Genomic DNA, 16,614 nt, shown 5'->3' on the forward strand with positions numbered 1-16,614 from the left:
CCTTACTAGAAAAAGAACAGCAAATTGAACCCAAACCAAGCAGAAGAAAAATAATTAGCATAAATCAATAAAATTCAAAACAGAAAAATAATAAATATAATTATTTAGTCCCAAAAGCTCGTCTTTTGAAAAGACTAATAAAACTGATAAACCAAAGCAAGACTGACAAAGAATAAAAAGAGATGACACTTATTATTGAAATGGGGAATAAAAAAAGAAGACATCATTATAGATCCCAGAGGCATTAAAAGGATAATAAGGGAATATTTTATGCCAATAAACTTGATGACTTACATAGCATAGACAAATTCCTTGAAAGAAACCAGCTGTGAAAGCTTACTAAAAATGAAAGATAACATGAATAATCCAATATATATTGAAAAACTGAATTTGTAGTTTAGAATCTTGCAACAAAGACACCAAGCCCAGGTGATTTCACTAAGAATCCTACCAAACATGTAAGGAACAAATGTTATTAATTCTACACAAACCCTTCCGGAAAAATGAATGAGGGAAAACACTTGCCAACTCAGTTTATGAGTTTATTACCCTATAAATACCAGTCAAAAATATTATCAATAAAGAAAACTGCAGACCAATATTCCTCAAGAGCATAGACACAAATGTGTCTCACCAAAATATTAACACATTGAATTCAGCAGTACATAAATTTCAAGGGATAAAACTAAAATAAAGATAAACTTAGATTTAAAAAAATTAAGTACACGTCAACTAGAAGCTTCGTGTAGATCATGTTTAGATCCTGGTTTTAACAGAAAAAAAAAGAAATTTGAATTCACTCAACATTTGTTGATATTAAGGACTTGTCAATTTCTTCAGCATGCTAATAGTATTATGACTGTGTTTTTGAAGAGGTCTTTGAAAATATACACTGAAATATTTAGCCATACATGCTGGAAAAAACACAGATAAAGTAATATATTCTCTAGAATTTGCTTCAAAATAATCTATATTGGCCAGGTGTGGTGGCTAACACCTGTAATCCCAGCACTTTGGGAGGCCGAGATGGGCAGATCACCTGAGGTCAGGAGTTCGAGACTAGCCTGGCAAACATGGTGAAACCCCATCTCTAATAAAAATACAAAAAAATAGCCCATCATGATGGTGGCTACCTGTATTCCCAGCTACCTTGGAGGCTGAGGCAAGAGAATCACTTTAACCCAGGAGGCGGAGGCTGCAGTGAGCCCAGATTGCACCACTGCACTCCAGCCTGGGTGACAGAGGGAGAGTCTGTCTCAAAAAAAAAAAAAAAAATCTATATGATGAGATCATGAGGAATGGGAGGGGATATAGATGAAACAAGACTGGGTGTCTGTTGATAAGTGTTTATGCTAGGTTCATTACACTATTCTCTCTACTTGTATATATGTTCAAAATTTTCCATAACATGAATTTAATATAAATTTAATATAAATTTAAAATTTTTAAAGTAAGTGAATAAAAGTATTGCTCCCTAATACATCCCTAAGAGGTCCATTCCATTAAAGAACAGCCACAGGCCTGCTGAGCTATAGATCGTTTTTCCTCTACTCTGAAAGGAAGCCATTTGAAGTCTAAGTGCCAAACACATGCCCATCCTCCCATTGGTTGATGATGAAAATAGTTAAAAGCTTTCATATTTCAAGGCGTTTTGACATAATGGTTGTAAATTAAGACTTCCTTTCTTACTGATAATATTTTTCTGTTTACATCCCAGGAAAATCATTTTACAATTTTTTCTTTAACACTTACAAGGGGCCAGGCACTCTGCAAAATCTCAGAGATACAAAGTTGAAAATAAAATAAAGAGGGTTTTTCTATTCAGTATCTACTGTGCAACAAACACTGTAATGAATATCATTTCATTGTTATTATCATCTCCAATTTGTACATGAGAAAACAATGTTAGTAACTTGATTTGTGGCCAGAAATATGTGTCATTGTTTAAACAGCTCATTTATAAAAATAGGTAGGATGCTAGGTTTTCTTGCTTTGTTTTATTTTTTTCTATACCATGGTTCAGTAAACTTTTCCAGTGAAAGACAAGTTACCAGATATTTTAGGCTTTGCAGGCCATGAGGTCTCTGTCACATTCTCCTTTGTTTTGTTTTGCTTTGTTCACAACCTTTTAAAAATGTTTTCTAAAAAGACAAAATTCTTTGCTCTTGGGCTTAAAAGCTTACGCCATGGGCCAAATTTGGCCCACGGGCCACAGTTCACCAACCCCTGGACTAGACTATGGTATGTTTCATTTTAATTCATTTAGAATACCTCATTTCATTGAAAGACTCCACTATACCATATAGTACTAATCGCCGTAGAAGGCACAGCATGAACACGTTTTATATTTGCCATCTGATCATTGTTCTTCCCTAGAAATTTTGCTAATGGACTGAGAATGTTAGAAGCAAGGTAATGTCAAGTGGTAACCTGACCCTTAAAGCATGATTTTTGCAATAATGTTGTCCAAAAAAAAAGTGCTTATCTTAATTCTATAACAACTTCATTCATTCCATGGTTGCAACAACAGATAATAAAATAACTGGACTAGATCAAGGTAATAAAACATGTCTGTCTTCACAAGGCAGATAGAAAGTTAGGAATCAGTAGCTCCTATTCAAACACTCTTGAAGCACAAAACCTAAGTCAAGATTATACTTAGGATTCTCTGCCAAACTAACCACATCAAAATAAAGTGTGTTCTAAATTAAAATAGATACGGCAAAATAAAATGTGAAGTTTTCCTTATTGCCCCTATTATCTTCTATCCCATCTCTCATTGCCCTCAGAGGCGTCACTTTTCCTTCAGAGAATTAGGATTGCTCAACAGGAGTGCAAAATGAAACCAATAGTGCTTTGGTCTCTAGTTGCTAAATCAAATTTTAAAACCATAGCAAAAATAGCAGTCCAAAGACCAAAGCATTTTATTTTTATAAAGCAGGCTTCCTGAGAAAAGAACAATTTGAGAATCCAGTGTTAATACTTGAGTAAGCAACGCCTGGGGTTTATGCCCTGAACAAGTGATTGAAATAAAAGAAAAAGATCTAGATTTAAGTAGACAAGGGTTGCCCAAGCTCATCTACCAAGAGGGAAGAGACATGGAGGGGCAACTATTATGGAGGAGAGTCATGAGGCCAGACAGGGTCATGGAAAGAGGAGGGGAATCTTCTTTAAAAGAGTGCCAGCCTCTGCCTATATAGACACTTCCTTTTTAGCACTGATGAAGCACAGGGAGCCTGGCCTAACTTAGCAATGCACTGCCGTGGAACTGTGCCCTGAGAGTTGTTTGTGCCAAGAACAGCTCAGTGTGCAATTTCCATCTGCGGTGGCTAGCAGGTCCCTTGTTGATCATCCAGTGACAACAATGTCCATTGATGCGCTGAGTTTGCTCAGCACAACCAAAACAAACAAGGTGGGACAGATTGGAAGCAGCTTGAGACTCAAACTCCCCACCTCCCCTCACACACACCACTCTCCAGCAAAAGCAGTGCTGAAGCCCCAATTCCAGGTGTCACGACTGAGGTTCAGGGAGAGTGTTAGATACACAAGGACACACTGCTAGCAAATGACAAAGCTGGGATTCAAGCCTAGGTTGGTCCTGCTCCAAAGCTACTGCTCTTAACCTCAGCATTATGCTGCCTCCCAAAATTCATTTCAAGCCTAAATTTCCATAATGCTTCTTTATGAGATGCCATCTGCCTAGAATAAGTTTAAGAAGAAGAAATCTCATTTTTATCTCAAATACCCATGAAGTTCCTTATATACATCATTAGTATACTCAAAGTTTCTTGTATATGATAGCTCACTTAATCCCCACAACCACATATGGGGTAAGCAGTGTTGGGAGATGGGAATTGGACACTCAAGCAGGTTAATTAATTTAAACCAAGGTCACACAGCTAGTAAGCAGCGGAGCCAGGATCTAAGCCCAGATCTGGCTGATGCCAAAGATGTTTCTCTTTTCCACTATAGAAAATCTGCAAGTAAACATGTATACAGATTTACAAAAAAAATTGCGTTTTATTTTTAAATTCACCATTTTTTCTAGGTTAAAAAAAACTGTCTACTCAAACAAATGCCTGTCAATTACCCTCCAATTTTTTGGCCTGCAACTAAATATAAACTTCATTTTGTTCTGCTAATAATGTTGACCTTTTACAAATAACTTGTCTCTTGTATTTAGGTTAGATTCTTAACCTTAAATATTTATTTACACTAAATTCCTAGCACAGGACTCAGATATATAAATGATAAAAAAAGAAAAAGATAAAGAAGTGAGTCAGGGAAAGAAGAAAAAAAGAAACTCCTGAAATTAGGAGTAAACATCAATATCTGCCTAGAATAGGTAGACCTCAAAAAATAATATTAAGCAATGGTTTAGAATCTTACAAATGAGTTGTAGTATCTATTTGTAGGTAAAATGTTCTACACTGTCTTTTATGTATAATGTCAGTTAGCTTTAGCCATGACTGACTTAAATCTGCAGTCAGTTTCAAGACCAAGTGCAATTATCTCTAGGAACTTGCTTATGGAAGGTGAACCAGCCTTCAACAGCTCCTCCATGTGGCCACACTTGTAAAGCACTACAAAACTTTCTAGTTGGAGGTTCAATTTTGCTCAATAACCTGAAAATTAATTTTTCAAGGAATCCTCGTTGGCATTATTTACAGTTTATTCTTCATTAAATTGCCACTGATACATTAAATAGGAATTTTTTATCTTTAGCAATGATATGCATGAGTTCTGTTCTTTGCTATTATGAATACACTATCAATGGGCTATAACATTTTTTAAAGCTTTACTAGTTTATAATGTATGTTTCTTCTTGGCCACAGCCACAGAATGCTTACGGGAGTAACTATTGGCAAGCACATGGTATGGTCAGGCAGAGAGAACCTAAATTCCCCTCCAGGACAAAATAAAACACTTTTTCTCCATTTGAATTCACTAAATCTGCTTAACCAGATTTTCACAAAGCTATGAAGTGATTTACTAATTCGGTGCAAACAACAGAAAGCAGCCTTCACTCTGGCAACCCCACTCAGCAAACTTCTTACCTGGCAGAGTCTTTAAATCACCCTCTTAGGACAGTCTGTCTTTTACCGTTTGGATAAATTTGTCAAGGTCAGTACCACAGAAAATCATAAGAAAAAAAAAGGCTGCATTTCCTATTTCAATGCCCTTATTTTAATTTTTGGTGACTTCATTCCAGCTCCTGTACCAACCCTCCCCACCCATACCAATCTATCTCGCCCTAAACTTTATGGTTCTTTTCTCAGTCTTAAGCTACACCTCTGGCCCCATCCTAATCCCATACAAACTGTTGCTTATTAGTAAAAGTTGAGTGGCTATGCCTCCCAGAGTAATTAGATAGTTACAGTGACCTTTAAAAACTGAAGTGTTTATTAGAAATCACAAAAACACATTGCTTCAAAGACAATGTTTTCGAAGCCACCACTAAAGTGAGAGGGACCGGAGCTGACATAAATCAACATACAGAAACTCTTTTCCCCATTCTTCACCCTCCTGGTATAGCCCCTCACCACCATATATGTCTCTGCATCATGCTGACGAGTCCCACACCAACCTGACCTGAAGAGCTGAATATAACTCAGATCTAGATGACTCCAAGGTGGGCCTAAGATGTCCCCCAAATTTTTTTCTCACAGAAGTTGCCTATAAACAGTTTACATAATGTAAAACTCTAGGTAAATGCTTATCACACATTTTGGGGAGCATAAATCAGCATAACTTCCAGATTTTTTTTTCCGGGAAAGTCATAATTCGGAGCCTACTTCCAGATTTCAACAAATTCAATTTACATTTCAATTTGATATGCACACCCAATCCCTGAATCCACTATCCCATTGGCCCATTTTGTGATTCCTAATGGGCCCAAATTGAAGGTCTCCCAAACTGGAAAGTTGTCTTCCCAGGTAGATGTAGTGAGCCTGACATTTTCCCACTTGTGTTCAACCCCGCTTTTGCAGATGTTGAAAGAGAAAATAGTTCTATCTGAGTAGATCAAATGCCCAGTTTTATTAAAACATTGTAGCAGCTCCTAATGAATGGAAATTCCCAGAATGAAGCCTGTCTCTGATGCATTCAGCCCTGTATTCCAAGAGCTGGGTTAAATACCATGCAGGTTCACCAGCCAATTGACTCCTTGCTCCTTCCTTTCAATTAATAAAGGACCTCAGGGAGCCTCTTGTTTTAAGTGGTGATCACAAAACTCATCCTTTATTTCTCTGTTCTTAGATCTTTCCAGGGAAAGAATGTTGAAAGCTATAGGAGTTTTGTGAAGGTGGGCATATCAGAGTTTAATATTAACAAGCTTTAGACATTTCTTCAATTAAGATAATTGCCGGAGGTCAATGACTAAGTCTTATAACCCAACAATCTGTATAATATTCTACTAACTGTTTAATTAAGATTTATTCTATCACCAGGAAATCCCTCGTATGTATACGCTGGCTCTCTCCACTCTCACTGGACAAGGCCAGTCACAAAGAGAATAACACTTTAACATTTAATTCTTCCCCCAAAATCACTGCCCATGCATCCCAAATTTATACCAATCAGTTCTCAGATTAACTAGGAAACCAGAGGGTATAGACCACACAGAAAGGCCTTGAGATGTCCATTCCATTCTCATATGTATTCTACTTTGGATTTAGCAAACAAAAAAGCACAGAGATAAAATGGGATACTACCAAAATACCTTTTTAAATGAGATAATTTCTGAAGACCTGAAGGAAGAAAAAGTAATTAATAATTTAAAGTTAGGAGGAAAAATGTCATTTGGGGAAAGCATTGAGCTCACTAGTTAAGCAACCACAGACTGAAAGCTTGAAGAAACACTTCAAAGACGTTAACTCGAATGGCTTAATGCTCCAAACCATAGGTTCCTACTGGGGCTGTGCTTGCAAATGATTTCATAGCTCTGGTCTGGGTTCACATCCAGGAACGTCAAAGAAGACTCAAGGCATATCTGACGTGATTTTTCCACTCATGAAAATTTGTGATTTCATGGAAGTCATATAAGAGAATTACAGTGAAATTTAATATGATGCGTGCAGGGAAACAACATGGAAAATTCAGTATGTCAATCGCCAAACCTTTAGCCTTACCGCAAAAATTCACAGTACCCAATTTACATAAGATTATGAATCTTGGATTGGGAAAACAAAATTTATCTTCTATTAAATATGCATACCAGCCTGAAACAAGCTTGTAATTTTATACCTGAAAGTATGTGACTTCAAAACATCAAATCACAGAGTGTTAGAGTTATTAGAAAACTGAGAAAATCATTTCTTCCACACTTTTCACCCCATCTCTACCAAATACAAACAATTAGCTGGGCATGGTGGTGGGTGCCTGTAATCCCACCTACTTGGGAGGCTGAGGCAGAAGAATCACTTGAACCTAGGAGGCAAAGGTTGCAGTGAGCTGAGATCACACCACTGTACTCCAGCCTGGGCAACAGGAGCAAAACTCTGTCTCAAAAAAAAAAAAAAAAAAAAAAAAGATAAACAGATCCAAAGAGGCCCATCCAAGTCTCCTTTTATTACCTTCCTCCTCCTCCTCCACTTTCTCCTCCTTTTCCTCCTCCAATCCCTCCTCCTCCTCTTCTTCTTCTCAATCACTCCTCAACCCACAACACAGTCTGAGTTCTGCCTCCCTGACTCCATCCCCCAGGAACAGAAACTTTTCCCCAAATGACACCATTACCTATTCGCTCAGTCTTAAAATTTCTGTTCTCTTCACTCAACGAAAGAGTTCCTTGATTTTCTGAATATTTCTGATGACATTGCCCTAGAAAGCTCTCTTCTGCCTTCACTTAAATGTTAATTGTTAGGTCTCTGCCATAGACCCTTTTCTCTTCTCCGTCTGCATAATCTCCATCAGGCAAAATCCACTCTTGCCAGGACTGATAGTTCCTAAATCTCTGTCTTTACCCTAGACTTCTCTCCAGTGTGTCAGACCATGTATCCACTGCCTACTTGCATTCTCCACCTGCATAGCCCACAGATTTCTCGAACTCAACTTGTCCCAAACTGTATGGTCATCTTCTCCCATCTCAAATCTCTTCCTTCTACTGGGTTTCCAAAACTAGAGAATGACATTTTAGCTATCCAATCCACAAACCCACACGTCATCCTAAACTCTCGTCTTCAGTCCCAACAACCAATAAATCATAAGTCTTGGAGATCTTATTTACAAAGCATTTCTCTAATCAGTACATTTGTTGCCATCGCTACTGCCTCTATGCTAGCCCAAGCCGCTGCATTATCTCCTAGCTCTCCTCCTCCTTCAGCTCAGTTATTTCCCCAACATATTTTCTCCAGAGTAGCCAAAGTGATCTTTCCTGTCATTTCATTACTTAAATCCCTTCAATGTCTTCCCAGTGTTCTGTAATTCAGCCCAAATTCTAACATGTGTGGCAACGTTCTGCAATGTCTGACTCCTCCTACACCTCGGAAGGCACAAATGTCTGCCTCGGTGGTTTTCAAATGCAGTATTTTTATGCATCAGGTTCTCTTAAGAAGATTAAAAACACATTTTAAGAGTAAATGCAGAGACACAACCTGAAGTTCAGTTATGTACTATAACCTGGTATATTTTCTTTTGCTACCTTTTCTTGCTATCAATTCTGCCATAGCGCCAGGATCAAGCTGTTGATGCCTGCATACATTATGAAAGACCAGAAAAATAATTGCTGGTTTCTCAAAATACAGCAGCTATTTACATTTTGTCTTTGGATGTTTCTCTCGATGTCTAAGTTCTACAGAACAGTTCCTTCCACAGAAGGGGACTTTTTATCGGAGGAAACATCTGAAGTCTTTTTAAAATATGAAAGCTCCACAGAGATCAGGGAAGAGCAAGATGATGAGAGAAGCAGTATCTGCATCGGTGAAAACTTCTCACCCATGCCTTGCCAATGGCAGCCCTGCAGCCACAATTAGCCAACCTCAAATTGCCAATGGCTTGCCAAGTAACCCTTGTGTGAAGAAACTTGTTAAAATATACCAATAATTCTAAAGGGCAACAGTTACTTTTCTGAGCCACCAAGAGAGTTTTATAAAATATGGATGACCTGGTGTGATCCCTGGGGTGTCTGATTCAGTGGGTTCTAGGTGATACTGGAGCCTATATGTTTTTAAAGCCTGACAGGTAATTCAGACGCACAAAACCTTTAAGAATCTTTGAGATACACATTTGCTATAAACTCCTAGAGAATGTCTTCCAGGGTGTCAGGTTTCTGCAGTTGTCTTAAGAAAACCCTCACAAGAATTCCAGAATTCAAATTCGGACATGAGAAGATTTTCAGGGGTTCCACAAAGCATCAGGATGCCAGTCTGTCCAGACAGCTCTGTGCAGGATAACAATTCTCACCTAATTCCTCCCTCACCTGGAAAAACGGGAAACACCAGGATGTAACTCCATGAAACAAATGAAAATCCATGTCAGGCACAGAGATAGAAAACATAAATCAAAAAGGTAACTATCTTTGCTTCCGTTGACAGAACAAATAGGTGATTTTCTCAATCTTGTTTAAGTGTGCTGATATTTAAAGAATGTAGATGTTGAGAAACACTGTAAGTATTTTTCAAAACTTTTGAGAATATTTTACTTTTATAGTAAAAAGTAAGTCTTTGGACGCACACATATTTAGGATTAAATCTTTGCTCTATGGCTTACTAGTTGCATGATAGGGGTAATTTGCATACTTCTTTTAAAACTCAGTTTCTTTTATTGTAAAAATCAAGATAACACTAAACAGTGAAAGGGAAAGCTTTCTGATGAACCAGATTATTACTCAGATGTCTGCAGAAAAGCTATGCCTTACTGTGAGGGAGGCTGGTCAGAAGGGTGGATGGGTGGGGACTCCGTAAGGCTGAAATGCACTGTGTCATTGGGCAGGGAGCTGAACTAGAGATGAAAATAAAACATAAACAAACTAAAAACTATAAAAGCAGCTCAAGACAATTAACTTTCTAGTTTATGTTAAAGGTCAGGCTTTTCCATCAGCCCTGCCTTAGCCCCTGGCACAGAGTTTATGGGACAAGAAGCAGAAGAGAGTGGGAAATAGAAAATGTTTTCAAAATACTTAAAAGCGTCAGTGAGATACATGCTCAGATTTCACTGGGATAAGTTACCTCAGCAGCCAAGAAAACCAAAACACTAAATGGGACCTAAAGGACTTTAGTTTGAAACACATCAGGGATATCTCCCAAATACACAAGTATCCACAAAGATGATGTCAAAAATCACACAGAAATGGAGAAGCTGGGATGGCTGGAATTCAGCTGGTGCTAAACTTAGGGATCAATGCTTAATCATGTTTATCCTGACTATATCAAACTGGTCAGATGTAGGATAATGTATTTCATATGTATATAAGACTTCTAGCACTTTCTAAGAATACTACTCAGCACCCCCCTCTTAGGAACTGCCTCTCTCCACCATCAGCATAATCAAATCCAGAGCTGCAATCTTAATACAAAGTGACCTCAACAACTGGCCCCAGGAGTGGCTGCCTTGGCAAGCTGAGCTAATGGATTTCTTCTCCAGGACCCTTGGGCTTGAGATGATATAAAGCTTGAGAAGAGTCTTTGGTTGTTCTGATATTTCATGTTTCCCACTGTGAGAGATGAATCTGCATGGAGTGAGACACAGAGGTAGGGACCTAGCAGCAAGTCCCTAGTTCCAGATGTCTGAAGCCCAGCTGCACCCCTGTCTTCCCAACACTTTGCTGTTCAGGTCTTCTTTCGACTCCTCTGAAGCCAGACATCCTAGCTTTGAATCCCAGCTCCACTTACACAGTAGACTCTGTGGCATGCCACCAAGATCCCCCTTCAGAACTAAAGAAGATTGATTCTCCCAGCTGTTGGGAGTGTTGCCAGCAGACTGCTGTCAGCTGTCAGCCCCCTCCGGGAACCGTCCTCTACTGAAGAGAACTGCCTGACTCTTCAGGGATAACTTCCATAATATTTTATATTCTTTGTGTCCCAATTCTAAAAAAACAATGCAGGGCCATCCCTGTCCCAGAACTCTCCATGGAGCTGCCAGAAGCCTTTGTTGAGACTGCATCACATCCCGACTTCTCCCTCTGCCCATTCCTGTTTCCTGTTCTTCCCCCAAGGTGTTGACCCTAGAAACACTCCCTCATATACTTCCCACATGCAAATGTCCAAACCAGAGTCCACTTCTCAGAGCACCCAACCTGCAACAACTAACTTGTAGAATCTTGCAAGTCACTGAACTTCTCTGTGCTTCAGTTTCATCATCTATTAAGTGGGGATAATAATATAACCTACTTCATAGTAATATCATGGGGATTAAATGAATTAATATATGTAAAGTGTTTAGAACAGAACAGCATTGATACATGATAAGTGCTATTTTATTCTCTGTTATTCTTATATTTAGTATTATTTTTATTACTACTATATAGCAAGTTAAGTCTTATTTCCCTTTTATACAACTTACATTGATTAAGATTGGACAAGTTTCTAAGGGATCCTAACTTTGAACACAAAGAAGTTCAGGCTTACAGGGTCCCTGAATCAAACATTTATTTCCCTTTTGACTTGGTTCATTAAGAGTCCAAGCATGTAGGCCTTTAGGGTTCACAGAAGAAGATTCATTTATTGACTCAAGCTTGTGCCTGAGAAAGGGCGACAGGGGTTAGCTGTGGAGCCTGGTTTTTGCCAATCTGTTGTTTTTGTAAGTGCTGCTTTGTACTTCTGCCCAGAGGTGCTGGTGATGAGTGTGTTGCTATAAAACTAGACATAAAACATGTGAAATGGAGCCTAAATCATAAAGACAAAAATTGTAACAGCAGGTTAGATTTTATGGCTTGAATTTGTCTTAAATTGGCATATATAGCATTGCTGCTGGGATCCCTTGAAGTGGCATATGCAAATCAAAGGTAAATATGTCCCAGACAATTAAATATTGTTCTACAGTGAGATCAATATTGATAACTGAGCAGTAACCATAACTCTTGATGAAAGGATAAATTTCGTTTTTATTATTCTGTTGTGAAAGATAATTCTACTGTGAAAAATTCTGTTGTGTTCACCTAGAAAGTGATTAACTAATTGAATATCTCAATAAATATTTCTTATATATCCAAAGCATAATGGAAATTCTTTTAGGAAATGAAGATTGTTTTAGGAAAATAGGTGACATCTGGACCACCCAGAACTTGCCCTCTGTGCAAGTTAATGCCTTTTTTAGCTATGAGTCCTAATGTAACAACAGGGCAAGGGAAGGAAAGTGGAGAATCAAAAAAGGCTACCTGGCCATAGAAAACAAGAGGTTGCCCTGGACCCGCTTCTCTAGTCACTTAGCCCAGCACCATGACTTTTTAAACCATCTCTATGTCGGTAATTCCCAAATCTGCATCTAGGTCCTCTCCCGTGAAATATGGGTCTCCTATCTAAAGCTCTACTTGGATGTCAAATAAGTATCTCAAATATTGAATGATGCTTGATTTTTCCACTGAAAAATCTGCTTCTCCCTTGGAGTTCCCCATGTTTGTAAATGACCTCAGCTTTCTTCTGGTTGCTCAACAACAACAACAAAAAAACAAAAAAAAAACTAGAAGTTATCCTTGATTCTTCTTTTTCCTGACTTAATCTTTAAATATATCCTGAATGTGTGTGCTACTTTCCACCTTCACCACCACCACCCTAGTCCAAGCCTCCACATCACTCTCTGCTACGATCCTCCAGCCTCTCCCATGATGGCTTTTTTTCTGTCGCTCAGCTCCCAGTTCTCTGCTCTTCACACTAATCATAACATATCATTTCTACCTCCATGCCTCTGTGTGATCTCTTCCCCAAGTCTAGATTGCTCATACCCCTGGTCCACACACAGCTCTTCTTGACACTCAGATCCTCAACAGTGACTTTCCTGACCACCCAAACTAATAAAGATACTAGAAACTTTTCTCATTCTCCCCCCACCACCTTTTTTTGAGACGCTTTTTTGGGGTCTCACTCTGTTGCCCAGGCTGGTGTGCAGTGGTGCAATCATGACCCACTGCAGCCTCAACCTCCCAGGCTCAAACAATCCTTCCACCTCAGCCTCCTGAGTAGCTGAGACTACAGGTGCATGCCACCAAATCAGTTAATTTTTGTATTTTTTGTACTGACAGGGTTTCACTATGTTGCCCAGGCTAGTCTCAAACTCCTGGACTCAAGCAATCCACCCCCATCAGCCTCCCAAAGTGCTGGGATTACAGGTGTGAGCCACTGCACCCAGCCACATGTCCCCTTTTTTTTAATGTGTTGCAAATCCCTCATCACTATCTGATAGGTTTTTATTGTTTATTTATTCAGCTATTTATTGTCTGTCATGAACATACATACATTTTTATGAATGTACGTCATAAGAGAACAGATAGGGGGCTGAGGTGGGAGGATCACTTGAGCCTGGGAATTCAAGACCAGCCTGGGTAACATAGGAGACTCCATCTCAAGAAAAAAAAAGAGAGAGACCTTGCCTGTCTCTGTCCCCATTGGATATCCAAAAGTAGGGGCTCAGAAAACATTTGTTGAATTAATGAATGAGTGGTAATAACCAAATATTGGAAAATCAAGTCAAAAACAAGACCAAACTGATAAGGGAATGCATAGATTAAGTAAAAGTCTACCATGTTCTGAGTGCCATGTTACTCATTTTTATATATGCTAATTTATTTAATCTAACCATCATCTATCTGAAGTAGATTATATTGTGATAATCTCACATTTTTAAGTCAAAGAAAAAAATGCAAAGAAGTTAAGTATTTTTCCCAAGTTCAAACTAGTAAAACACAGCAAGGCTAAGTGTGACTTTAAAACCCAGCTCCTTCCAACAATCACATTGGTTTGCTATCAGATCCCAAGTCTTCACTCATTTCCCTTCATTACTGGTAATGAGAAGTAGGTATTCATGATTCAAATAATCTTTTTCATTTATACTCTGGCAAAATTCCTCTGATTCTAGTTATACTTCATGCAAAGAATCTACCATGAGATTACTTATCAGGTAGTGAAAAGATTTGTACAATAATAAAAGTGTAACAATAAATATATATTTCATATTTACCTTTGGAAAAAAAATACATCTTAGCTCATTAGACTAAATTGTCAGTTATCTGAAGCTTATAAAAGGATAGCCTGGATTCACACTGTCTCACACACACACACACACACACACACACACACACACACACACTACTATTGCTTCCCTGATTAACTTCGTGGCTTCACTGAAATGTAGAAAACACACGAGATTTTTACAAACAGTATTATTTTTATACTTTGGCCCACTACATATGAAAAGAGGGGATTGTACCAGATGGCCTCTGAGATCCCTGCCAGCTCTCGCCTCCCAGGAATAAACAAGCAGAGTGGGAAGAACACAGGCTTTGAAGTAAAACAGACCCAAATTGTAACAGTGAACCTCTCAGAACTTTTATTATTCTGTAAAATTAACATAATAAATTTACTTCTCAGAGTGGTTATAAAGACTGGTAAGGCACTTAGTACAAAGACTAGTGCGCCCATATTTTTATATGGTCGCCATTATGATTGTTATGAGTTAAGTTGTGTCCCCTTAATAAAGAGATGTTGAAACCCTGACATCCGATGCCTCAAAAATGTGACCTTATTTGAAAATAGGATCTTCATAGAGGTAATCAAATCAGAATGAGGTAATTAAGGTAGGCCCTAAATCAATATGATTGATTAAAAGGGGGAATTTGGATACAGAGACAGACATACACAAAAAGGGGAAATTTGGATACAGAGACAGACATACACAAAAAGGAGGAATTTGGATACAGAGATAGACATACACAGAGAGAATGTTGTGTGAAGATGATGGCAGAGATCGAGCCAAGGGACACTACAGATTGCCACCAAACCACCAGAGACAGGCTAGGCAAGAGGCATGGAACAGACTCTCCCTCACAGCCCTCAGGAGGAGTCAACCCTGCCCACACCTGGATCTTGAACTTCAGGCCTCTGGAACCATGAGACAATAAATTTCTATTGTTTGGGCCAGTCAGTTTATGGTACTTTGTTACAGCAGCCCTAGCAAACTAAGACAGGACTCTGAGTGACTAACTGTTCCTGGTGTATTTGTGTTGTTTTTCCACCTAGCAGTCAATGGTTTTGAAACTCTTTGACAGCAAGCTCAGCAAGAAAAATATTTTACATAGTCACAAAATATATATACATATATATGTATAAATGCTCACACACACACAATACTAGATAGATAAATAGATGATAGATAGATAGATAGATAGATAGATAGATAGATAGATAGATAGATAAAATGTTGCAGACTGTTACCTTAAATGCACTCTGATATTTTCTATTCTGCTATTTTTAACCTGGTAGTAGCGCACTAACTTGATTTCACCACCACTTAAGAAGCACTAAGCTGGACTACAAACTCCTTCAGAGCATGAACACACCTCTCTTTTCTTAGCCTCTACCCAACACTGGACATGTAATAGTCAAAGAAACACTTCATGATTGACTTTTAAGGCCAAGACTTATATGATGCCTTTTTTATGTCACTACTTTGAGCTCTTTTCATAAATCTATACCAAAATATTCAATGTCCATGGGAATTCTTGAGTAACTACCAGAAAAGCATGTGGCAATGACTGGTGAATATTCCTAGATCAAATCATATCATGATAAAAATATATGTTGGATGTTTCTTTAATACACAGATTACTTTTATCCTGGGTGGTATTAGTTTTTCCAAGGGTGCTGCTGTTCTGCATGCTGGTTATAAACCCCCAAAATTAGTATATGTAAATCAAGGTTGCTTTTAACCATAAGAAAACCTGTGATTTTCATCAGATGTTATACATATTGGGAAGGGAAAAAGAAGTTGCTTCAATATTTTATATCATATTGCTGCATATTAAAATGAATTATATCAAATAAATATTAAATAATAAGTGATAAATGCTTCTCACTGGTGAATTAAGATATTAGGCAATTGATGTGTTAAACTTTTGAGGATGTTTGTGGATTTATTAGTTATCTATGTTTATTCTCTTTATAAAATCTCAAAAATATAGTCCAATGTAAAAGCCACAGATAACTATTCAGTGCTTACTATATCTGCAAGAAACTATGTCCAATATAAAATTATATGAGATGAGATATCTACCCTCTAGGCCCTGCTTAAAATTTGGTTGAATTAAAAGACACAGGACTGGCCAGGCGCAGTGGCTCATGCCTGTAATTCCAACACTTTGCATGGCTGATGTGGGAAGATTGCTTGAGTCCTGGAATTCGAGACCAGTCTGGGCAAGATAGCAAGACTCCATCTCTACAGAAAATTTCAAAAATTAGCCAAGCATGGTGGAATGTGCCTATAGTCCCAGCTATTCAGGAGGCTGAGGTGGGAGGATCATTTGAGCCTGGGAGGTCGAGGCTGCATTGAGCTGTGATCGCAATGCTGCACTCCAATCCAGGCAACAGAGTGAGACCCTGTCTCAAACAAAACAAAACAAAACAAACAAACAACAACATAGGACTACTGGACTAGGTGCAGTTTGACTGCAGTTACAGCCATGACTACCCA

This window comes from Homo sapiens, chromosome 3 (assembly GCF_000001405.40).
Source record: "Homo sapiens chromosome 3, GRCh38.p14 Primary Assembly".
Classification (NCBI taxonomy): Eukaryota; Metazoa; Chordata; class Mammalia; order Primates; family Hominidae; genus Homo; species Homo sapiens.